Raw genomic sequence first — 27,149 nt, 5'->3', positions numbered from 1 at the left:
GTTGTATCACCCTATTTGTTAATAATTTCAGATAACTAACTGCAAATGACCTTTGGTGTATCAAAAAATTAGATGTATGCTCGAAGGTTAATCTTTTCTGCACCTAGAATATTCAGAATAATGTGCCTAGTTGTGCTCTCCCCAGATCTAGTTTCTTACCTGGGGCATTCCTCTTGCCACAGTTGCCAGGCAACCATTCTCATAGCCTGAGCCAAATACACCTTTCCCTAATCATGTTGCTTTGCTCATCTTCACCTATACAATGACTATGTGACTTCATTTCTCTCTTAGAAACACGTTGCTCTCTCTTAAATGGGGCCTTCAAAATAGAATTAAAAACCGACCAACAACAGATGATTTCCGTGTATATATAATTTATATATGTTTACATATTATATATCATACACAGGTATTAAGTGTTAAGTTTTTAATGTTACATCTTCATCTACTTGGCTAATTTTTCTAAGAACAAAACAAAAATTTAAATGACTAAGAAGAACACTAATTCTGAGAACAATCTCTGATGCCAAACCAAACACATTATGAATCATAAGAAACATTTTTTTTTAATTATTTTAAGTCCTGGGATACATGTGCAGAATGTACAGGTTTGTTACAGAGGTATACACATACACCTGCCATGGTGGTTTGCTGCACCTATCAACTCATCATCTAGGATACATTTTTATAAAAGGAGTCTGGAAATGCAAAAATCTCTCCCATGATGAATAGTGATATTACATATAGGTGGACAGGTGATATCACATAGAGTTGGACTTCTATAAATTTGTAGAAGTACTTTGTATTCCTATAATAAGACTGAGAAATGCATTTGTATATTGTTGGTGATTATATTTCACTCCAGCAAATCCTGACCAGCATCAAAACTAAATAAAAAGTACCATTTTTATTGATACACTCATAAAACTTAAAGTATAATAATAATAAAAAAAAGAATATGAACATGTTTATTTAGTGTTCCGTATGGTTAAAACTGGAAGGAATAAGAACAACTAATCTTGTTTTACTTCAAAATCTATTTTACAAGTACATTACAATTTTACTTTTTAAGAGCTCATTTCAATTTCACAAATTTCTAATAAATCTTCAATTGTATTTTATTTTATTTTTTGAGACGGAGTTTCGCTCAGACTGGAGTGCAGTGGTGTGATCTTGACTCATGGCAACCACCGCCTCCTGGATTCAAGCTATTCTCCTGCCTTAGCCTCCTGAGTAGCGGGGATTATGGGCATGCACCACCATGCCTGGCTAATTTTGTATTTTTAGTAGAGACGGGATTTCTCCATGTTGGTCAGGCTGGTCTCAAACTCCCAACCTCAGGTGATCCGCCTGTCTCGGCCTCCCACAGCACTGGGATTACAGGCGTGAGCCAACGTGCCCAGCCAAATCTTCAAACTTTTTAAAAATTTACTTCTAGTTATATTTACTCTTTAAATTAAAATTGAAAGATTTTCTAAGTCATAAATGTTATATTTATAAGAGAAATTTATTAATACAACAATGTTTAGTTTCCAGATATCATTAGGGTTTTTTAAATTATATGTGTTAGGAAAGGAGAATGAGATGAAGTAAAGAAGAGATATGGAGATGGGATATAAACCTAAGCATAAAGGACATATACGTCTTATTTTTTTTTTACTACAATCCTCTTTTGCTCTAATAAAATACTTTTCACTGATTAGAAGCCCAAACTTGCTTATACTTTCTCCTAATGTATCTGAAGAGCAAATAATTGTTGCGTAATTTCATGTCTTGTTTGATTACACACAGTGAAAGTTCAGTGCAAGTAGAATGGTTTTTTTTTTTTAATTTGTATCTGCTACATTTTCGTAATTTATAAATCTTGAAGTGTTACAGAATAGCCCACGTTTTTCAATCATTGTTTTATCTCTCACTAGGATATTGTGCCAACTGTTTTTCAGGAAAAATTGGCATGTTTATTTTCTCCCATTGTATCTATTATAAGATGAACTTTGTAGCAAAGCAAGGTTTTAATGTGGTCTTTTGGCAGAATGTACAAAACTGAAATAAAGAGAACGTATTTGGAACTATGATAGGCTTCATGAAAATCTTTGAGAGAGAGAGAGAGAGAGACAGAAAATAATCTATGTGTAATGCCCACCCAAACTCTGGCAAAATTTGAAACACATAGTTCAAACTTCTTTCCTTATAATGAAAGCCCTTAAAATGTGTCTTGATAGTCTTTTGGGACCACTATTTTGTAGGTTTGACATATTCATGAAAAGAAAACAAAAAGCAAAAAGAAAAAAAATGTTTCTGGTAAAATATCTATTCTCATCCTGACATAGGCATCAAATTACTCTCTCCATAAGCAGTTGTAATAAATGAATATTGATTTACTACAGGACTTTCAAATATTAAATGTGTTTATATGAACTCTCAGTTAATTTTTTTTCTAACTTTCAAGCCATTTTCCTGACTCTGTGTAAATTGTTCACACAAATAGGCAAAGGAATAAAGCAATTTAACCAAAGTGGGGAAACAAACAATCGTAAGTGTAGGTGGCAGAAGAGAATGGATTTTTTTCCAGTTATTCTGTATCAAAGCTGCATGGATCTATTTGAAGACACTTTTACACAACAAAAGGAGATTTGTTATCACTAAACCTAGCAATTTGGCTTTCTAAATACTGATAAATCCTGGAAAATTGTAATTCTTTATTTCTGTTTTCTCTAAAAGTAAGCCACTCTTACTTTTAGGCACCCAGTGGATTAGATGTCATCTTTTTTATATTGTTCCTAATGGAACATGAGGATGGCTTTTAAGAAGGTGCCAGATGTGTGAGTTCTTTATTGCTGAGCAAGTGTTGCTTCTGTTTCTGAGTCTATCAAAAGGGTTCACATGAAGAAATACAGCTATCATTTATATGTGACTAGCAGAATATATTTAAGGAACATATTCTTTTTTATCAGAGGCAAGCCTTAAGATATAAATCAAAAGATTATAATGAAAAATATGGCATGAAATAATAAATTAAAAATGAGAATAGTTTGTTGATTCTAATGTATCTTCAGGAGTTGGAATGGCAGTTTAGGAGAGGAATGAGCTAATATAAATGTATATTTTAAAATAAATATGCTCAATATGCTTGCTTTATTTTTTTAACAGGATGAAAGAAGCAGGAGTAGACCATAGGCAGTGGAGGGGTCCCATATTATCCACCTGCAAGCAGTGCCCAGTGGTCTATCCCAGCCCTGTTTGTGGTTCAGATGGTCATACCTACTCTTTTCAGGTAAAGACACCTACAGTTGTTTAGTTTGAAATAAGGGATGCATACTTATTAGTAAATGATTAAAACCATTGCTTATCCAATGTGATAATTCAAATTATTCATTTAACTTATAAAATAAATTAATAATCTCACTGGTTTGGAATATGATTCAATGTGCATTTGTTTTTTCTATATCAGAATTTTTAAGGTTTGAAATACTAAAGCTATGAACCCTCAGATATCAAAGCCAACCTTTCCTTTGTTGCTACTATGAAAGAAGTCAGAAATGTTAGCATGCTGTACAATAGCTTTAGTGATCAATATTATTTTAACAACAATAAATGTGCTACAATCTGTCATTAGAATTATTTTTTAATCTCATATTTTATCTCCTATATTATCTCATTTAAGCCACCAAAAATCTCTTTACCAGATGAAAAAAACAGGATCAGAGAGGCAATTTGACAAGTTTCACATATTTAGTTGACATTGAAGCTAGGATTTGATATAATCTCTGATTCAATGCCTTTGCTCTCTCTTCTACATTGTTGTTCCTCCCAATTAAGTGTCCCATATTGTTAAAATATTTTGGGATTTTTACAAACTTTGCCTAAATAAGACATTGATAAATTTCCTTAGCTTATGTAACAGAAAGTAAGGAGTTCAGGTTCACTGTCTTTTATCTGAAACCCTAGGGACTGCATACATTTAAAAATTTAGATTTAAAAAATATATATTTTAGAAAGGTAGTGTAGCATATTATGCAGTGTCCCTAGAAGGAGCTTACCCTATAATTAAACTATTAAGCCAGGTGCAGTGGTTCACGCCTGTAACCCCAGCACTTGTGAGGCCAAGGTGGGCAGATTACCTGAGTCAGGAGTTTGAGACCAGCCTGGCCAACATGGTGAAACCCCGTCTCTACTAAAAATACAAAAATGCATCAGGCATGGTGTTGGGCATCTGTAATCCCAGCTACTCGGGAGGCTGAGGCAGAAGAATGACTTGAACCAGGGAGACGGAGGTTGCAGTGAGCTGAGATTGCGCCATTGTACTCCAGCCTGGGCAATAAGAGCAAAACTCTGTCTCAAAAAACAAAAAACAAAAACAAAAACATATTAATACATTTTTAAGCAACAATTTAAATATTCTTATTAAAGAGTATACATTAAATCTATAAATAACCTTTCTTCAGTTCATATCTGATTGTGCTTACTGCAGTTATTTCCAGAATTTTCCTACCTTTTATATGTTTTGGTTTTGTGGATACCTGCTTATGAATCATAATCTGTCTGAGCAAATATTTCCCCAAAACTTCCACTTGCCTTTTACAATTACAAATCTGGGAAAGTGCACTACAATGCTCTTAATTAATTCAGTCACTAAATACATAGTACACACTAGGTGCCAAGTACTGTGTATCCTTAGTGAAGCTGTCATATGTCTACCTGCTAAACTTTTATAGATGTATATAGAAGCGGAGTTATCGCTAGGAGAGGAGTGTGTCAGGGGTCCTTTCAACATGGTCTTGATCTTGGTGAATTTAACATGGTATAGGTAGGGCCTTGGCTTTGCAAGTTTAGTGAATTCCTGTTGCCAGTACAAGGGAGAGTGAATCTATCTCATATTATAAAATTCCACATGGAAATGATGTATAAATCATTTTGCTGATTTATTGACTTATAATGAAGGATGCAGATTGTAATATTCAAACTGATAGGAAGAACTACAGAGGAAGTAAATTTTAATCCTAATTTTATCTGGTGAGTGTAGATGATTGAATAAATTGAGTCAGTGGTAGAGAGATTGGAAAGTTTTACTGGCATCCACCTAAGTAGAAGTATGTCTTTCTCAACATTGGAAATATGTGCCAGAAGTACTGATATGTTTGTGCCTAGGGTGTCATCATCCCCAGAGAGTGCTAACAGAAGTCTACTGGCTTCTGCTGACATTTTTGGGACTCTTTTGAGGTTGCTCCTAGCAGGTGATCCTTCCTTTCCCAATTTAGTTTCATAGGACACCAAGTTACAATTATAAGTGGAATTCTACTTGATAAGACTTGATTGATGATGTTAGAGTTACTTAGCATGTAAGAAATAGCTCTCATATTCTCATTCAAGACTAAAAGCACGTATTATACGTAGATTAATTCAGGTATATCTTCAATTTCATGGGGTTTCCTCATTGTTCTCCTTGGGCGTGAGGCACACTGTGATACCTTGGCTTATAAATCATCTAATTTTATTAGTAGTATCAACAAAACCAATCTTATAGATAATCCATATTTGAATTATTATTTTAATATTTATTTACATAAATGTCACTTTTAACAAATGCTTTTTTACATAGAAAGACATTACAAAAAGCATGCTTCAAGTGAATATGGGTCTTTAATAACCCTAAATCATCATTTTTATTTCTGTTAATTCTAATTTAACTTAATGACTTTTCCACTTTGAACCATCCATCCTAATCTTAAACTTTTGCATTGACAGCAATGAGACTGAGCTATATAAAACAATGAAAAACTAAGTAGAACTCTTAGCCCAGTAAAGATTTAGGTGAAACTATCCTTACTAATCTTTTTTTAAGAGTTTATTTGATTTGAATCTCAAATTAAGGACTTCAATATGTTGGTGTTTTTTTGTTCCCCCCTCATAAGAAAGTATTGCCCTAGGCTATTTAGCTACTGATCAAAAACAAAGACCACAAAGGCCAGTACCTTCTTGTAAATGTCATTTTATTATGTTCCCAACATCTGCTTATGAGAGTTGAAAATAGAATATAGATAAGAGATCACAAGATCTTTCTTCTGGCTCTTGGATCACTAAATTTTGTCAATAAACTTGCAAATTATGACAGGTCAGATTTAAACACATTTGAACAATAATGATGAGCTCCAAATTCTAAGCTCAGTAGGGTCCATGAAGCTCCTTGCTTGAAGTTTTAAATCCTCCCCTGAGTAGTCCTGATATGTTAAAGATTAATCAGAAGCCAGATATGATGAGTCTTGGATGTGGGGCCCTACATTCAGTGTGGAAGTGCAGTCTTGCTGTGGAAGCCTTTCCTATTCGTCTGCTGAATTGTTGACCCATGCATTGATACAAATGGTTTTTTTTTAATACTACAAATAATATTCCTACAAGTTCTATTTTAGACCCACAATGTTTGTTCATTACTTTCAGCTTATTTTATAGAGAGGAGATTATAAATGATATTTTCATTGCACATCTTAACTGGAGGTGAGGTCAGGTGCAGGAGCTGGGGGATGTGGTGGGAAAGAGGAATATCAGAAGGTACACAAAGAAAGACTTTAGCCAAATGATATAACTAAGATATAATTTTAAAAGGTAAACCTCATTATGCAATGTGACCAATTTTGAATAATTATTTTATTTGAGTTCAAGCTTTGAAGTTAATCAGCGTTTTTAGAAATCCTCAGTAGAGTATTTTAAAAATGCATACACAAAAAGAAAAATGAATAGATGAGGAACTATGGATAAATAGGCTTACTTGAAAAAATCTTGGGACATTTGTGATTTTCATAAAAAGTATTTTTGGAACATTGCCTTTTTTCCTGTTAAGAAAAATTATTTACTTTCTTTAGAAGCCTATTTAATCTTTCTTTTTAAAAGAACCAGTGTTCTCTGAATTCTTTCAAATTCAGCAATGCCAGAAAAATAAAAATATAGTTAGTCTGTTCAAGGTTGTTTGAGAGGTAATCATTCTTGAAATTGACACAAAAGATGAAGGCCTTCATTTCTTTACTTCAGGCAAAGTCTATTTTGATTGTATTGTCAAGCTGCGGTAAGAACTAGGAATGTTCTTCAATATACCATTTATGTTAGATCATGGATGTATTTCCCACTTTGTTATGTAAAGTGTACGTTACATTTGCCGTGAGCACAAGTCAATAAATAATATTAACCTTTTAGACTTGAGTAGAACATGTGTAATATAAATTCCCTGAGGACAACAGTGGATGATTTTAAACTCTTTTCTATCATATTTAGTGATGCAGTGCTTGGCAATTGAACTAAACAATCATGAATTCCTTAGAAATTAGTATTGTTCATAAAATTGTGTGTGTGTGTGTGTGTGTGTGTGTGTGTGTGTGCATGGTTTTGAAGGAAGGCAAATATAAAGCTTACCTATTTTAGACTGCAGTTTTCAAATCCAGCTGTAGAGATGCTACTTAAATTGATTTGGAATGGGGCCCCATGAATTTGAATTTTTAAAACTCCTCATGTGACTTTTATGTGTAGCCATGGCTGAGAATCACTGTGCATCCCTTCAAATTATTGCCTTTGAATACTTAAATAAAAGGTAGGGGTGTGTGTGTGTGTGTGTGTGTGTGTGTGTGTGTGTGTGAACAATAACATTAGCATTAAAGGGGAAGGCCTAATTTTTTTATTACAATTCAAAAACTTTCTATTTTAAGTTTCAACATGCTACTATAATGTTTTAACCTTTCTGTCATTTATTTTTTCCATATTTGAGGCATGTTCTTACTTTCTCTTAATAGTTATTAATTCTAGCAACTATATGAACATTTTGAAAGGTAGATAATTTCTGACACCTAATCATGAGAAGTTTGGTATGTTATACTTTTTAGTATTTAGTTGTTCTATCTTCTTTCCTCTGAATATTTAGAGCTGAGATCATTTGATTTTGGAAGATCCACTGTCAGAAATGGATGTGCACTCTTTCTATTTGACTTGCTTTTCCACTTAGGTTGCGTTTGATTTTTGGCTGAGGTATGCCAACTCGATCAATATTACAGCACCAGAACATTATCATGATCATTTATGGGGATACTTTCTTATTACAGCACTGAACATTAAAGGAAATAATATGAATGAAATTTATCATAAAATTTCAAATTTAAAAGGAACTTAAAAGAACATCTAGGACAAATGTCTATGCAATAAAGTCCCTGGTATGAAATCATATTCTGCGAGGTAAACCTCTATATTTGAGGAGTGTTCTAATTGTCAGAAAAGCCTTCCTCTCCTTACACTGATTTTGTTTCCAACACTCGCTATCCTTACTCCCTGGAACCATGTGCTGAAGCACAAAATACATCCTCTCTTGTCTTCAGTTACTGGGAAAAATGTGAATTCTTAAATTTGCCACTTACAGTGAAGCAAACAACTAAAAGACACTTGCAAAGAAGCTTCACAGGTAGGAAAAGAACTCATTTTTTGTGTGTTTGTTTTGTTTTTTCAAATCCCTGATTGCTCATTGACTTGATCAATGACTGGTGCCTTTGAATAGAGGCTTCTAAGAGAACACAGGGTACATTGCTCCAGGATACCTCCACCCCAGTCCCTTTACTTTTACATGCATTTCTAGATACTAAGTTCTTTTCCTAATGCTCTGATCAGTGTTTCCCACAGCTTGTTGCCAGTGGTCTATCTGTAGGGAAGATATAATGCAATGAGTTAGAGACACAGGTGCCTGATTTTTGTCTACCATTTACAATAACTTGTGTTTTGATCTTGCAATATGGGAACCCATGGCCTTTTCACTACATTAACTTTCATAACCTCATATATACACTTGTGTGTGTGCATATGTATAATGTGTGTGTATATATATAAATCAAACATTTATGTAGACCATATTTTCTGGCAAATACTTTAAATATTTTAAATATGTTAACTGGTTGTTATCCCTCCTTTATAGATGAGAACTGTGAAGCACAGAGAATTTAAGTCATTTGACCAGTGTTACTCAGCTAAGTCCAGAGCCCATGTTATTAATTGCATTTCAATTTTTTAATGTAAAATTGAAGCAAATTCATTTTCTAAATTAATTACCCTTCATTTTTTTCTATATTGCTACACATGATGTGGTGACTACCTTTATTTGAATCACTAAAAAAAATTAAAAAATAAAAATATGTGGCTTTTAAATTTATTGAGTTGTTTCTCACTGAATTAGAGCCTGTGATATCAGATTAATGATAAAAATATATTTTTAGATATTATGCATGATAAATAAGCCTATATTGTCAATTTTCTGTGATTATTACTCGTTGCAGAAAACAATCTTCTGTGTCTTCTAGAAGCTTTAAAATTTTAACTTTTAGGGTTAGGTCTATGATACTGATTAGTTTTTGTGTATAGTAGAAGGTAGGTTTTTTTTTTTTTTTTTTTATGTAGCCAACCAGGCCAGGCATGGTGGCTTACGCCTATAATCCCACCATTTTGAGAAGCAGAGATGGGAAAATTCCTTGAGCTTCGGAGTTCAAGACAAGCATTGGCAACATGGCAAAAACCCGTTTCTACACAAAATTTTTAAAAAAGTGGCCAACCAGTTGCAGAATCGTTTATAGCATCTTACTTCATTGGATTGCTTTGATGTCTTTGTCAAAAATGAAATGGTCCTAAAAGTGTGGGTCTGTTTCTGTCTTTAGTATGGTCAGTGAACTATTTATCCTTAAGCCTGTATCACATGTCTAATTTGTTGTACCTTAATGCTGACTTTTGAATTCAGATGCAAAGTCTAACTTTGTTATACCTTTTTAATATTGCTTTGGTGTTTACCCTTTGCATTTCCATAAGAATTTCAGAATCAGTCTGTCAATTTCTATAGAAAACAAGCTAGAATCATTTTTTAGATATTGTGCAGTACTGAATCTTCAAATCCACACACTTGGTATATCTCTCCATTTAGTTATATTTCATTAATTAATGTTTGGTAATTTTCAGTATAGAATTTCATAATGCCCTTTATTAAATTTGTTAAGTACTTTTTTATTAGTACTATTGTAAATTTAATTTTAATTCAGTTTTTAATGGTTTGCTGATAGTATATTGTTATATTGTTAATTTTCTATACTGACTTGTATATTGCCACTTTGCTAAATTCACTTATTATTTCTAGTAATGTTTTGTCATCTCTCCAGATTTTTTTACATATAATATCCTTCTCCATGAATACATGCAGGTTTATTTCTTCCTTTTTTATCTTTCTATTTCTTGCCTTAGGTTTTGGTTAGGACTTCCACTACAATGTTCAATGTATCTCCTTGCCTTAGTCCCAATTTATAAGAAAAGTGTTCAGTATTTTCAACATTAGGTATGAAGTTACCTATAGATTTTTGCATGTAAAAAAAGAAAAGTTTTAATAGTGCTTAAGCCCGTGTTAATTAAGTTTTCTGTAGCCATCACAGAATAGAACATATAATATCAGTGTCTACATCTTTTGTTACTATATACTAAAAAAGGACTAACACCACATATATTCAGTTGTGGAATTTTCATGTTAACTTTTATATCTTAGAGATCTTGTAGTTTATAAACAGTCCATCTAGTTTGTATTTATAAGGAATGCATTTATCTAAAAAATCCTAAACTATGTAGAACATGTTTAAATATACATGTTCTTTAAGAGAAGTGTAATGATAATAATAATACTAGGCATATACTAGTTGTGGTAATAGAAGTTCTAGTAATATTTGTAGTAATTGCTAAAATAACTGTATAATAATATCAGTTAATATCCTAAATATTTTATGTGTAGTAAATTAATCTTTAAAAAAAATTACAAGACTTTTTTTATAATGTCTACAAACTAGGGATAAAGAAAAGGAAGCCCATGTCAGCCATAAAGCTGGTGAATTACAATGCTGGAATCAGAGCCCAGTTAAGCGCACACACAGTTAACCACAGCACTGTACTGTGCAATAAAACTCCCAGCAAGACCTTAACTGATGCATTTATCACATGTGAATTTTACCTGAATGATGTCCTTTGTAACATTAATTATTCATCACTTTGCCAAGGAAAAAGAATACAGGAGGTGATGGGAGAGATATAAAGAAACCATATATATTTCAACTCTTCAAAAAGGTTATAGAAAAGTAAATAGGTTATCCATGTGTATCTGTAAACCAACCTCTTTTTATCCTCCCTATTTTTCTCCCCTTCTCAGACACTAACACCCCCAATTCTACTCTCTACTTCCAGGGGCTCAAAATATTTTTTAAATCCCACATATGAGTGAGAACATGTGGTATTTATCTTCCTGTGTCTGGCTTATTTCAACTAATATAATGTTATTCATATGTAAAGATAACTATAGCATGTGCCATCCTTACTATGTTACTAGAATTTATTTCAGCTGAGTTACTCAAAAAGTTTCTAGGTAATTAAGTAAGTGTATGTACAGTACCTTTGGAAGAGTTCTGTAATCTTTTTGTCAGAGGCACCCAACTCATATCAACAAACAAAATATTCTTTTAAGAAATTAACATATCATGATTGCATAATGTGTGTTAATAAGTATTCTAAATTAATGTATTAATGAATGACTCAATTAAGCTAATGCGTTAATTTTTATATGCATTAACTTCTTAATTTTAACAATGCTATAAGATATATAACATACACTAACATACACTAATATTGTTCCCATTTTAAACATAAGAATTTGAAACAGAGAGATTTTAAATTAGTTCATCGGGGATAGAACTAGTAAGGAGCAGGACTAATAATATGGCTATGAATAAAAATATAGATTATATAAAAGTAATAATATAATAAAATGATTTTGCATAATATGTAATTAAACATGCTAATTTTATATCAACAACTAATACACAAATGATTTCAAAATTAATATGACAATTATTTTTCTAGATAAAGAAAAAATAGTATGCCATATATTGTATCTATCTATATCAGTTTATAATCATTTGAATTATAAAATAATAGAATGTGACTGTCATATCATTTTTAGGGTATCTGAGCAAATTATATTCTTCCCACAATCACACTGGATATACTCTATGAGCACTGTATGTTTTAGTGGCCTTTAACCGCTTCCCACCCTAAATGCACTCTACCAAGAAAATTAGTCTTGTTATGTGAATTGACAGTGGATTAAGTATGTTTTTGTATCTGAAGCAAGCCAAATAAACAGCCAAATGAAACTAGAAGGTAACAACACTAACACAGAAACTGAGACAGGAAAAAACAAAACACCTGTCAATAACTACAATCCGGAAATATTAAGATTAATGGCCTGTGAAAGAATGGTAGAGTAGGCTCGATATGAAAGCACAGTCACGTCGATGAATTAGACAACCCCTCTGAACAGCTGTGCCTCCAGTGAAAAGAAAGCGGGAAATATTTGTCATCAGGCACTAGAAATCTGAAAAGTAACCTACAGGTCCTTCCAGTAGCATGGGGTAATAATACCATTATTATGGTATAATGTTGATGCTTTTGAGCTGCTCTTGCATGGGTCTGGTGTTCTGAATTACACTACAGCTGAGCAGAGGTCAGGCAAGCCCAAAGCTGAGAACATTTAAGGGATTTCATATATTAAGTTACACCAAGACTTGGAAGCCTCAATATATACTTTCTCTGTAGAAATCTATTATTAATTCAAACGTCTAAGGATTCCACAGAGTTTGTTCTGCCAACTCAAATTCACAATTTATTTAATAAATTTTAATATTTATTAATTTTTAATAAATTAAATTATAAATTATTTATAATTTATATTATAAATAATTTATAAATAAATATAAATTAAATAAATATAAATAAAGGGGCACACTAATACAATACAAATAAACTAATAAACAAAATGAAGCAAGCTAACAGGAGCAAGAGTGAACAATGCCAACAGCAAGAACAAGACAAGATTTGTATTTTAAATACTTAAAATTCTAAAATTGTTAGAGACAAATTATTAGTAACAGACATCAACTGTATAATATATATTAATGTATGAAACATTTAAACATTTAAAAAGATATTGAAATATTCAAGCATTACCAAACATAATTTCAGAAAAAATTACTCAGCTTTTAAAAGAGCCAAATAGCATTTAATTAAAATATTATTTAATTAAAAATTAAGTCAATAGATTAAACAGCAGATTAGATGAACTTCAATCAAGATAATGAACTATAACTTATATATATGTGAGTGTACATGTATATGTATTATGTACGTAACATAGAATAATAAGCTATAATATATGTAAATATCATGTTACATATGTGTGAAATATATGCAAATATTATATATATCATATATTTATGTACATGTATACACATACGTATTTCTGAAAAATAACCCAAAAAGGTAGAATATATAGACTATAGAGTAGAATGAGAAAGTCAAAAGTTTAATCTGAAATATAGAGAGTAATCAGAAGTAATAACACAGAGAAAATATTAGAAGAGAATTTAGTTGAGAATTTTAGTTGAGAACTTTCCAGAAGTGATGAAATACATGATTCCACAAGTACAGGAAACACAGTGTATACCAAGTAAGATAAATAAGAAGAAACCCAAGTCTAGACACGTTACAGTAAAATGAGAGATTACCAAAGTAAAGTCCATCCAGACAAAAAAGCCATATTACCTACCAAAAATATTGTACCATTATACCAACAAAAAGCATCTCAGCAAGATTAATGTGATTCAGAAAACGGTGGAAATGTACACTTAAAATATTGAAAGAAAATTTTTAAAATTCAAAAGCCAGTATTTCAGAAGAAAATACCTTCTAAGTCCGTTTGCTACATAAACATCCTTGAAAAGAGTGCACGGAACAAAAGCTGTCAGTGCCTCTGATTGCATGATGTGCAAAAATGTGAGTGAACCCAGGAGATCTGCCTCCAAACAGTATCTGCCCTTTGTTTCCATATCTTGGCTTCTAGAGAATGTTCCTCTACGTAGGCCACTCCATCAACAGGTGTTTGAACCAAATCTGTTCAATTTATCTCATGTAGCTTTTAATTAAGGATATCATCAAGGGAACTCTAAGCAGGAGGATGATAAAAACCTGCAAGCAAAATTTATCTCAGCAGTGTCTCCGACCCCCCACTCCAGAGTCTCAGAACCAACCTCCTGGACACGTCGCATAAATCATCCAGATCTACCTTATACATCCAACGTGGCTTTTGCCTTATGTGTTTGTCTTGGGCTTTCTACTTGGCCTGTGGAATTAAGTCAGGTGCAGCAGGATACACTAGTGATTGCATAGATGTCACTACTTGACCTACAGAGAGGCATCCTGGACAATTGTGTCATCCAAAATATCTGGTCAGTGGACTGTGACTGACCTGAATGCCTTTCAGAAACAATGTCCTGTCATTGATCACTTCACTTCGCAAAATGTGTTAGTGAAACATTTATTATCAACTTTTCTAATTGCATACCTCCTGTTACGAAAAGAACTTCCTGCAAGGTATCTATAAATGATGAGTCTGTTGTCCCATTGATGTGACTTTGCAGGTGGGACCTATATCGTTCAGGGGACATAGACTGACAGTGCATCAAATATGGCTCTCCAGCCTGCTGTCAGATCTCAGGTTTCCCAATTCAGTTAGAATAACAGACTCTACTCCTTGTTTTTGGAGTGATAGCTGAGGGAAGTGTGCCTAATTTGTCTTGGTTTTTCTAGCAACCAGACTGGTAGCATTCATTCACCCCACAGAATGAGAGGGGAGGTGGGAAAGACGTCTGATGGTGTTGACAGGTGATTTGCATGGGAGGTTCAGGAGCTGGTGCCATCTCCTGTTTCTAGACTTCTCTGGTAAGGTTAAGTGAAATGGAAAAAAGGAATGTCTGGGGAAGTCAGACACAGCACGCAGTTAACTTTAAGACACTTGCAACACTTTGAGAGACATACAAGGACATTTCCTTGGGGAGGAAAGATGTCAGGGTGGCATGGAAAAACAAAAGCTCATGAATGTATCTTGCCCCTCTATTTATTTCAGAGTTGAAGGTGTTCCCTCTCCAGGAATACCTGTTGTTGTTCCCCTTCTATTACCACAAGATTAGTGGGTCCCATTACGATCACTAAAATTTTTCTTTCTTTCCATCAACTCCTAAACTTTACACAAGAACATTTTATCCATAAGAGTATATTAGGAGGGACAAGGGAAGTTTTATAAAGAGAGACCCATTATGTTTTCGACTATGGCCTGCATATACTACTATCAGTGGATTCAAAGAGCAGCGTGATCCACAATTGAGTTTGAATCCCTAAGGCCTCCTTTGGACAGGCTGCCAACTGGAGGGCATAGCGACCAGGGCAGCCTGCAGTTGCTGGCAGGGAAAGTAAAGAGAAATTCTCAATGTTTAAAATAGGTATATATAGCCTCCTTGCATCTTATTCGCTACCTAAGAGCCAGCTGAGAGGGTATGCTCCTTTTCTGGGGACAGCAAAATTCAGGGACCAAATTGCCTTACTAAGATATGTGAACCATGTGGAGGTGAGGGAGGCAGAGACATAAATCTTTTTGAGTTTATTTTTTAAGAGCCAATCCCAATGCCCAACAATATCAGATTCTTGTGGGTGGTCGGGAGCATGAAAAGTGCTTAACTACCTTGCCGGCCAACACATTACTGAGTAGATTAGGTGATAAAAAGTGCACTGTTGTCAGAGTGCAAATAGCCCAAAGAGCTAAACATATGACACAGATTAGTTTTAAACGGTACAGTGATGCTGTCAGAGACAGCTGGTAAAACTGGAACAGTGGCAGCATTACCAGAAAAAGTCTCAATAGAGGTTTGTAGCTCAAGGTGCTCATGAGGGTTGTGGAGTCCCACAGGTAGGAGATGTGACACAACTTGCTGAGTGGCTTCCAAATCAGTCTGTTGGTTTAGTTGAGTTGTAAAGGACCAAGGAGAATGCCTAAGTGGGGAATATACTCTCTCCAATACCCAAAGAATGCAATAAGATTTTGGGCCTACATTTTGGTGGTAAGAATCAAAGAGATAGCAGTTTTTCTTCACTGTTAGAGAGATAAGCATTGTAAATCCACCTGCATAGCTCTAAGAAATATAGTAAACAGGGGCTGGGCACAGTGGCTCATGCCTGTAATCCCAGCATCTTGGGAGGCTGAGGCAGGCGGGTCATGAGGTTAGGAGTTCGAGACTAGCCTGGCCAATATGGTGAAACCCCATCTGTACTAAAAATACAAAAATTAGACGGGCATGGTGGCGTGTGCCTGTAATCCCAGCTATTCAGGAGGCTGAGGGAGGCTGAGGCAGGAGAATCGCTTTAACCTGGGAGGCAGAGGTTGCAGTAAGCTGAGATCATGCCACTGCACTCTAGCCTGGGTGGCAGAGCAAGACTCTGTCTCAAAAAAAAAAAAAAAAGAAAGAAAGAAATACACTGAACAGATGCCAAACTTTGTTAGAGTTTATCAGCCATCTCTTCTGACAGAGGTGTAATAATACTGTAGTCAGAGTCATGGAGATAGAGGCTTTGGACTTGCCAAACAACAGGGTATCATCTGCATAGGAAAAGCTTTAGGCATTTAAGGTTTGTTAAAGTTATCCAGAGAATTACAACCCATAGGGTACATAGATAGATAGATAGATAGATAGATAGATAGATAGATAGATAGATAGATAGATAGATATGAGGAGATTTATTATAGGAATTGAGTCACGTGGTAATGGAGGCTAACAAGTACCAAGATCTGTTGTCCACAAGCAGGAAAGTCAGGAAAGATGATGATATAATTCAGTCCGTGGCCCAAGGTGTGAGAGTCAAGGGCCAGATGGTTAAGTCCCAGATGTGAGTCCAAAACCCTGAGTGGAATGAGTGCTGATGTCAGAGGGCAGAAGATAGATGTCTCAAGCAGAGAGAGGCAATTTGCACTGCCTAGGCCTTTTTTATTCTATCCAGACCCTCAACCAATAGGATGATGCCCACCCACATTGGTGAGAGGGTCTTCTGTACTCAGTCCACCAATTCAAATGCTCATCCCTTCTGGAAACATCCTCATAGTCATGCCCAGAAATAATGTTTGACCATCTATATGGTATCCCTTAGCCCATTCAGATTTACACATGAAATTAACCATTGTATGAAGTTACACACACCTATTTTTGGCAAACGATAAGAGGTTTCCATCTCCCACAAGAAAACTTCTTTACACATGAATCTTGGCTCACTCATGGTAAGGGAGAATCTCTTCTACCATTTACCAGATAAAAAAGTACAAGTATATAGCACATCACTACCTAATGTGAATTCAGATGTGGAAGTAAGAATAGCATGCATTGAATTGGCCCCAAAAGCCTCACAGGAAAGGTCACGTTGGCTTACCTTCCTTATTACCTTTTATAGTGTAAACCCTGCCCAGATATTATCAGTTGAATCCAGTGCCACCTTCTCCAACAGAACCAGACATAACAGTGACTTGGGTTGGGTGCCTGCATCCAACACAGTCTTAAAAGCTTGTATCACCCCCTATCGCAAAGTTCTTCAGTATAGGTGAATGAGTGTACTGGGCCTTCTGTCTCACTTGGAGAGAGAGAAACCTTGAGCCCATTGTCAAGATAACAACCCTTCCTCCCCCTGCCCAGAGGTTAGTGAGCAATAACCAACCAAAGCACCATTGGAACAGTTTGAGCCAAACCTACTGTCCAGACATGAAAAATATTTTTTTTTCTTTTTTAGGGAGAGGGTCTTTCTCTGTCACACAGCTAGAATGCAGTGATACAATCACAGGCCACTGCAGCCTGGAATTCCGGGGCTCAGTGATCCTCCTGCCTCAGCTTCCTGAGTAGCTGGGACTACAGGTGCACAGTACCAGCCCAGCCACTTTTTTTTTTATTTTTATTTTTGTGTAGAGATGGGATCTCACTATGTTTCCCAAACTGGTCTCAAACTCCTGGCCTCAAAGTGCTCCTCCTGCCTTGGGTTCCCAAAATGCTGGGATTACAGGCATAAGCCATGACACCCAGACTAGGCTTGAAACTTTTAATAACAGAGAATATGGTTGAGCCTTTCACTACCCTTGTTCATGATTTGGGTGATATAATTCACTACTAGGTCTTCTAATATGGTCTGTGAGACTTGTGTTCTTTCACTTACAGAAAGCCACTTCTCAGCCAGCATCTCATCATCGTTGCCAAAAACCACTAGAACTGTGAAGGGTCTGAAAATTTTATCCCATTTGCAAGATGCTGCAATTTCTTGGAGGTTGGCAGAAGACATGATACCCTGGGCCAGAGACAAAGAATATTGTACTTAGTGCACGGGCAGCATAATCTTTGATGTTCGTGTCAGTTCTCCTTTGCTCACAAGTCCCGCAGGGGTAATGCACAGTGGCATAGTTTGATGTTCTTCACACATTGATTTTGTGTTGCAGCTAAGGAAATCCCAATATTTTCTAAAAGACTGCAAACAATCCCACCCAACCTTTGCTCATGCAGAGATATTATCTTTTTTTACTGGACAGGAAAAAAACCCTCCTCTCTCTTCTAGAAGGAGACACTACCTCTGTCTTGCAACTATATTTCCTAAACAAACAAAATTGAATAGATAATACAGAACAAAAGGCTGCCAGTGTCTCTGCTCCCACAAGGCACAGCAATACATCGGGTACTTGTCCCCCAACACTACACAATAATAGGGCAATTCTATTAATATTAGACAAACTAGATTTTCACATAAAAGCCATAGAAAATGGCGGAGAGAATTACTACATAATGATTAATATGTTAATTCTCCTGGAAAATCTGATACAATAGTTCCAATCATGGAAGTATATAATAAAATAGTCTCGAGATATATAAAGCAATTTTTACCAGGACAAACTGTCATATCTCAACGGCACATAGTGAGATTTTAGTACTCTTAGTAATTGATGGAGCTATGGGGGAAAAAAAAGTTAATCTTTTCCCCTGCCCTCCCTGGCTCAAAGTAAATCAGAGGGGCCCCCCAGTTGGTGAAGGGGGGAAGGGTTGAGCTCTCTAATATAGTCCTGATGGTAAACCCACCTGTATTTAAGAACATGGGCCATGTAGTTGGAAAAGTTCCTAGAATTTTTATACTACAGAGGAAGGCAGCAAGAATGTAAGACTGATTCTATTGCACATTTAAGAAAATTGGTTGAACATATAACTAAATGTAAGTTTCTCATTCATGGAGAAAGTATTTACAAACATGGAAAAAGGCAATCGGCAAAGAATGTTGACACATTGGATTGGCATTGAGGAAGGCAGTCTCATGTGCAGTCTTCTGACCCCCACTCATCCACATAAAGATGGGCCATGAGCCTGGAACACATCCTTACCGAGAGATAGGGAGGCCACACAGCCTGTGCTTGGCTTAGCACCTTGTGTGGGAGTATCTCTTCCTGTTTCAAATGTAATGAGTGTTCCTTTGTTCTGCTTAAGCATGCACCTCGGTGGCCCCCAGGCAGGCCCAAAGCTTTCTGGATTTCAGATTACATGTAAGAGAGGATGGGTCCTTCTACTGCAGCAGGAAACAGGTGCACATCAGTTGCCTTGTGTCAGCTGCTGGAGGGTCCATTAGCCATGGGTGGGGGCAGGGCACAAACACACTGAAGCCGATCTTGCTCTGTCTCTTCTTGATGTGAGTAAAGCATTGTTTCTTCCAGGGCTGCCTTGTGAAAATTTCCCTTGGTGACTCCCATATTAAGAAGCAATAGACAGAAGTGTGTAGGGTTCTCCCCTGAGATTGATAACCCACTCTCTGTTTCACTTTATCCTCATGTTTCTTCCTTTTTATACTCACTTTCCTATAGAAACTTACTCTTAATAATGTTCTAACTGCTCTGATTAACAGTTCCTTCCTCTTCGCTATGCCACCATTGCCAGGACTTCTTCCCAAATGTGTGATCTGGGCCCTGGTGTCAGATGTACACATTTTCTTGAAGTGAGTCAACAGAGGGCATTTTAGGGCTCAGGAAATCATGGCTTTTTAGGTTAATCCCTCAGATTTACTCAAGGGGAGACTTTACACAGAGGAAACACTATGTTTTATGTGTTTGTATAATTGTGCCAAAGCTAAATTCACCAGCTCTTGCCCATCTTTCTCATTTAGAAATCCCAAAATATACTGTTGCTACCAGTGCATAAAACAGTTTGGTGACCATTGATCATTTCACATGTATCTTGGTTATAAAAATAGTACATATTTTAAAATAAGCCCTTGGTATTTCTTAAGCATAATAAACAAGGAATTTCTTCACATTTTATATATTTTAAAGCAGTTAATGTAACAATTTAGTTATGTAAACCACATAGACATTGAAATGTATGTACAAGCTATCACACTTCAGTATTTTTATGTTTGGGTAACCATTGAAATCATCTACTACTTTGAAGTATTCAAAGTCTTTTCTTTGTTAGCTAAACTTAACCTTCTGCCCTGAATCTTTCCGCTACTTGCATTCTTTTTTTACAATGCATCCCTTCTTGCTTACTCCCATTCTTTTAAAAAATTGACTCTCATTTATATCTGTATAGTTAATTTCTTCTGAAATGCTATACTCATGACCTTCTATTCTCATCTTATTTTTTATTATTTTTAACAACACTTGTATCTCTTTGAAAAATCCTCTTAGTTGTTATTTGGCAAATCTCGTATTATATACTAAGGTAAATAATAAAAAATGTAAGTTAAGAGTAAGTAAAAATGATTTTATTAATCATATGTATCATACCAATAATTAAACAACCTATTTTTATAGGTTTTATTTTACTTGAAGCTATTTTAATTGAAAGCAACATTAATCTGGAATAATTCAAACAAGAATTTTGATTTGAATGACAAAGTTTAATTAAACAAATAAAATGAAATTATTATAAGATAAACCTACTAGCCTTTTGATCTTTCCATTTTTAAAATTTATTACATTTTGAAGTTTAGGATCATCCATGTGTCCAGTTGTTTTCTTTTTGGCATTTTCTGATATTCCACTGCAGGCTATTGTGAGCTTTGTGTCAAATGAGAAATTTTTGCAGAGTATTTTGAGGTGTGTTTAGTTTTGGGAGAAAAATAAAATATTCGTATTAATAATTCCTGTTTGGAAAATTAGAGATATACTGGTCCAGAGGATATAGTACATCTGAGAGAATGGGTTTAGTAAGGTAAGGGTTAGGTATGGTTTTGTTACTTTTTTTCCCGGAAGTTCTCCTTGGTCAGTTAATCTGGTTACCAACTGGAGCAGTATTTTAACTTGTTCGTGACTACATGACAAGGATTGCACACTTACTAACCTGGGTTGTCGTGTCCTTACTTCCTCATCTCAGCTTAGTTAGCTTAAATTCAACTAGTTCTTTACAATTGCCAGTTTCTAGATGCCATTTTGAATGCCTAAAGTTTGAAGTATAAGGTAAAATGAAAAATTAACTTGTATATCTGTGAGCCTTAGAGACTGCTTGAATTAAGAACTTTAATATTCTCAGGACTCTGTGGGTCCATTTCTCATTTTCAGTTTGCCTAGGAGCACCTATGCTCACATCTCTAGTGTTACCCTTGCAAAGGGCTTGCCTCTCTTCCCTCTGACTGAATTAAGAAAGCAGGAACATGACTCTCACCTGCCCTATGGCACAAGATTTTTTTTCCCTGTGGTGGGGCCAGTATGATATATTATTAATATAACATTTTGTGATATAAAAAGAAGTTTTTCGAAGTCAAGTTTCTGGTGAGAAAAGGAAATGCTCCTCCAATGAAGCAGGGTGTTATTCCGTGATGAAATGTAGAGTGTTCCACAAAGAGAAAAATGGTGTAGTGTCCACTGTGGTGCAGAGGGTTTTTAATGTTGTTACTATGTTTAACTTCCTGTGTGTGTATGTATGCTGCAATTAAGACATTTTGTGCAAATGATATATCCTGATTGAATGAACAAATGGATTTAAGGCTGGAGTCCTCATTTCCTCCTGTGGTTATGTTTGAATGGAGAACACCATTCAATAGGGATCAGAAGAACTTTAGTGAACGGTGTTTTCTTGGGAAAGGGTTAGCTACAGCTGAATATGAGGAATGCTGTTTATGAGAGTTCAAAGCATGTCTTTGATATTGGCTATTTAGAGCATTAAAAATATAATACATTAGTCAGTCCAAGATAGATTAAAATGGGGAATAAAAAAGTGACTCATGACATTCCATATTTTCTGATTTGTTTTTCACTTGAATGAAAATTTGTATTGCTACCATAAGAAAATAACATTGCTGCTATTTCTATTGCTGATTACATACTTGTTCTACATTAGAACTATAAAATAGTGCTTGAATCCCATTTCAGCCCTATATTTTTTTATCAGTTGCATAAGCTCTCTAAACTTCACTTGAAAAATTTATTGTAAAAATATGTCTTGTTTTTATGATCAAAAGAATAATACATCTAAACTGCTTAACACAGTGTTTGACATATAGTAGTGCCTCAGTGAAAGTAGGCTATTGTCAACTGTATCTTTTCTCGCTTTAGCTGATTTGTATTTTCTGGTTTCTCTAGATAATTAAGTTGGTTTGTAGAATTGTTATTGACAGTTGGTTTGTAGAATTGTTATTTTATATGGATTACTTTAGTGAATGCCCAAGAAAAAATTCCTAAGGGAAATATGGAAGGGATCTTGAGAATTGAATTAACCCTTTCATTGCCTTACAGTAGACTAATGCCTAATCAAGGCTTCTCAGTCTAGGCACTGTTGACATTTGGGGCCAGATAAATCTTTGTTCTGGCAGGGGGGTTGTCCTTTGCATTGTAAGATGTTTAGCAGCATTCCTGGCTTCTAACTAGTAGATGCCCAAACAATCACTCTCCCTTCTGCCTCCAGTTGTGACAAACAAAATTGTCTCAAATGTCAATTTTGACATTTGAGGGGGGAGTGAAATTATCCCCAGCTGAAAACCTCTGCTTTAAGCCATGTAGCAGGGCCATGATGATTTCATCAGTTTGAAAGCTGGTAACAACAGCCTGTCGCAGTGTTTGCTGACCCTGAAGGTTGGGCTCTTTTTCATATGCCGCATTTTTTTCCAATAATATGATCATATTTTCTTCAATCCTCTTATTAAACAAATGACTGTAAAATAACTTTCCGTGACTAGTGTCAAAATCATTCTGCAGGCTTGCTTTTCACAAGAACTCGTAACTTAAGTGATCTCAATACTCGGGGTCTTAGATAATCAGGAAAGCATTAATCATGTCTTTCTCTACATTATTTGCATTTTTTGGTAATTATAGACTAATGAGCATGCCCTTTATGTGATATTTTAGTTCACATATACCTTTATAAATATTTCAGCTTCGTGGTAATTAAGTAAATTGAACATTATTAATTAGAAATGCAATCAGTGGGTATAGCTAAAAAATATTTTAAAGTAGCATTTTTTAATGTCCTAATATTCTTTGAGTAAAATTCTCCATGGAATTTTTTTCCAATTTTAATTCATAAGTAAATAAAACTAAGTAGCTTTCTGATAAAAAGTAGCTAAAATCATATGATTATATACAAAGGGCATATTTGCTATACATCTGATTCTGTTATTCTTTATAGAAATGCATAGAAAAAAAGGTGTTGAGTAGAATCATTCTGAAATCATTTCACATATAAAGTAACTTTTGCAAAGCTATAATTTTATCATTTCATGAAAATCATAAAGACAGCTTTGAAATTTTAAATTGTAATTATGCCAAAGAAAGCTACAAGCTGAAACATATTTTGATGAAGAATTAACCAAATTTTTATAAAGATTATGTAATTCTCTTGTAAGTTATTCTCCTAGTGCCTAATGATATAAAAAATGAATCATCAACTTTTGGGCAGAAAATATGATTCCTGTTATTAATAAACTAATAGTTGTTGTATGTTTGTTGTTCATTCAAGTATTAGCCAGGCTTTTATGTTGTTTATATTTTAAAAATCACTACTAAATAAACTACATTTAAAGCATAAATGAGTGTGGTATAACACATCTATGAAGGGAGATAAACATATATTCAAATGGTAAAATGTAATATTAGCTATAATTAATATTGACTTTTGGCTTTGTCTGCTCCTATACCACTCACAGTTGCTCCTGAACTTTCCTTAAATTATGTCATGAATCAGAATTATTATATGAGAAAGTTCAGGGTTCTGAAATATTAAGTTAACAGAAGATACAGTGCAGAATATTAAATTTGAAGTTATAATTCATTTGGCTTTCATTAAAACATTCATAATTGCTTAACTATTTATGTCTACCTTCGAATAGATTTTGGACTTTTAAATTACATTTAAAAATGCACTGTGATTTTACTGACAAAATCTTTTTTTTCAATTTTTGAAGCATTGAATAATGAAAAATAACAATACCATTGAAAGTGTTCTCTTGAAAGGATGAATATGCTACTATAAACATGTTCAAAGTCCTTAATAATTTTTAATCATTTGTTGCAGGGCTCGTTAAGAATTTCAACTGTCCATTAAGGAGTCACTTGACAAGAAAAAATAAAAATATTGTAGAGACATGAGTAATCTGATTAGCTATTGGGTGCATTCGGTGCTTCTTGATATCAGCTAAAGCTGAATTAAATTAGTCACTGGTGCATTTGTCGATTGGAGCCAGAAAGTCTACCCTATTTAATTTTAAAATCATTTTCTCTGAGTAAATTATGGCAGTAGCCACCAAAGAAGTCATATTACTTCAGAATTAGCAAGATCTATTTCTTTTAGAGTAGGAAGATAATTATTGACTCTTAAAAGATGGAGCACACATAGGCTCAAAATAAAGGGATGGATGGAGGAAGATTTACCAAGCAAATGGAGAGCAAAAAAAGAAGGGGTTGCAATCCTAATCTCTGATAAAACAGACTTTAAATCAACAAAGATCAAAAATGACAAAGAAGGGCATTACATGGTGGTAAAGGGATCAATGCAACAAGAAGAGCTACTATCCTAAATATATGAGTACCCAATACAGGAGTACCCCGATTCATAAAACAAGTTCTTAGAGACCTGCAAAGAGACTTAGACTCCCACACAATAATAATGGGAGACTTTAACACCTCATTGTCAATCTTAGACAGATCAACGAGACAGAAAATTAACAAGGATATTCAGGACTTGAACTCAGCTCTGGACCAAGCGGACCTAATAGACATCTGTAGAACTCTCCACCCCAAATCAACAGAATATAAATTCTTAGCAACACATCACACTTTTTCTAAAATTGACCACATAACTGGGAGTATAATTTTTAATCATGTCAAATATACAGTTATAAAATATTATTCTAGAAATAAATGAAAAATACTTAGGCTTAAAATTCTACCAGGAGTAATGTTTACAAAGAAAATCAAGCCAGATATAAGTAAAACTAAACTAAGAAGTTAGCCAACAAATGAAAATATCATGTGTCATAGTATTTTTGATTGTTTAAGAGTATTCAGCTTTTACTAGCATTTACCGAGAGCCTGGTTCATGATAGCTACTGCGTGGGGAAAAACTGGCTGTTTGGTTCTTAAAACTCTGGAAATTAGGTATCATTATCCCAGATTTTTTAATGGGAAAATTGAGGCTGAGAGCATTTGAGCAACTAGCCCTAAATGTTACTTTTAGGAGATGGTACTCAGAAGATTTAGATTCAGGCATTCCTCTCTTCTAGACCACTTATTTATCTTTTTCCATTACCTGTGTGGTGGAATCAGAAATGCACTGTCATCACCATCTTAAGTGCTTTCAATCCTGTGGTCATACAAGCACCGAAGAGAGGCATGCTATACTGTTTTTTGTAAAACAAGTGAAATAAACTCTGGGGCTTGTAGAAACGTAAGATATGTGACAATATCTTATTACAAATGCACATTTATTCCAATGTAAGACCTATGGGAAGTTCAGTCTAAAAACCATTTGCACACGAGGATTAGAGAGACACTAAGCACATCATCACACCAAAAATATATGTGAAATATATATACATACAGAGTATATTATATAAAGGCTACATAAATATTTGGTTTATTTTGTATGTAAATATATATGTTTGTTCTCTATGTGTATGAATGTGTGTTTGAGCTATGGTGCTATGTTTGTGGAAAATCACAAGTAACTATAGAACTATTTAATGAACACATCAATTTACATATATATATTTTACAATTCTTTGCCTGGGGGATACAAGATGGGCCATTTGATGCTGTGCAAGTCACTGGCTAAAGACTGATGCATAGAGTCTCTGTAGCCAAAACTTAGAGTCCAATAAGTAAGAGAAGACATGCTTACTTAAGTAACCAAAAACCGAGATTATATTTGAGAAGCTCAAGAGATGTACTGTCAAACTCTATGTCATGCGTCTCTCCATTTGATTCTAAAATGTTCTACTCATGTCATATAATAGATCTGACAAACTAAGAATGACTTTTAAACCTATTATATTTCTCAGTGACTGTTCACCAAAATGATACCCAAAGCAACTGCATTTCTGCCTCTTTTACGAAGTAGTAATACTCTACATAAGTGTGTAATATTGCACTTTAGTATTGGAGACGTATTACCTGGTGGAAAAATCTCCAAATTATATGCATCAAAAATTACCTTTCTTTCTAAAAATTTCTTGAGTTTTACTGATATAACTAAAGCATTTGAATTACTTTTTTTTTCTCTTTTTATACAGTGCAAACTAGAATATCAGGCATGTGTCTTAGGAAAACAGATCTCAGTCAAATGTGAAGGACATTGCCCATGTCCTTCAGATAAGCCCACCAGTACAAGCAGAAATGTTAAGAGAGGTAAGTGACAAAAATATATTTATAATTTTACATTCATCACTCTCTACTAAAATGTTTTGCAATAGATGTTGTCATTAAATACACAATGAAGTTTGTTTTTATACAAATACCCAATATCATTTATATTTTTATTGAAGATATTTTCCTGTTAGCCTCAACTATTATAGCAAGAAATGATTTTCTTTAGATTTCTATTTATTTTGATAGTAATAACTAGATACTTCTTTCCTATGTGCTCATCATATATAAGAAATCTAAACCAATGCATTCTATAAACAGTTGTGTCTAAAACATGTGTTTTATATCATTTTTTTCTTTTAGAGCAGAAAACTGATTATTGATAAAGTAGTAAGTAATTAAGTGGTTTGATCAGATCTGCAACTGC

The 27,149-nt window shown here is 34.5% G+C and overlaps 1 protein-coding gene across 12 annotated transcripts in view; it reads left to right on the top strand.

Annotated features, from left to right (window-relative positions):
- Window positions 1-27,149, top strand: part of SPOCK3 (SPARC (osteonectin), cwcv and kazal like domains proteoglycan 3) — a 501,562-nt gene that overhangs the window by 319,052 nt on the left and 155,361 nt on the right. For 11 of the 12 annotated variants that reach the window (XM_017008258.2, XM_011532018.2, NM_001204355.2 and 8 more), the window contains 2 exons: window positions 3,151-3,274; window positions 26,650-26,764. In XM_017008258.2, coding sequence (XP_016863747.1) covers window positions 3,151-3,274; window positions 26,650-26,764 — 239 coding nt within the window. The remainder of the gene's footprint in view (window positions 1-3,150; window positions 3,275-26,649; window positions 26,765-27,149) is intronic. The other variant, NM_001251967.2, reaches the window with a different exon arrangement.

Source organism: Homo sapiens, chromosome 4 (assembly GCF_000001405.40).
Source record: "Homo sapiens chromosome 4, GRCh38.p14 Primary Assembly".
NCBI lineage: Eukaryota > Metazoa > Chordata > Mammalia > Primates > Hominidae > Homo > Homo sapiens.
This window is presented reverse-complemented; position numbering and strand designations above follow the sequence as displayed.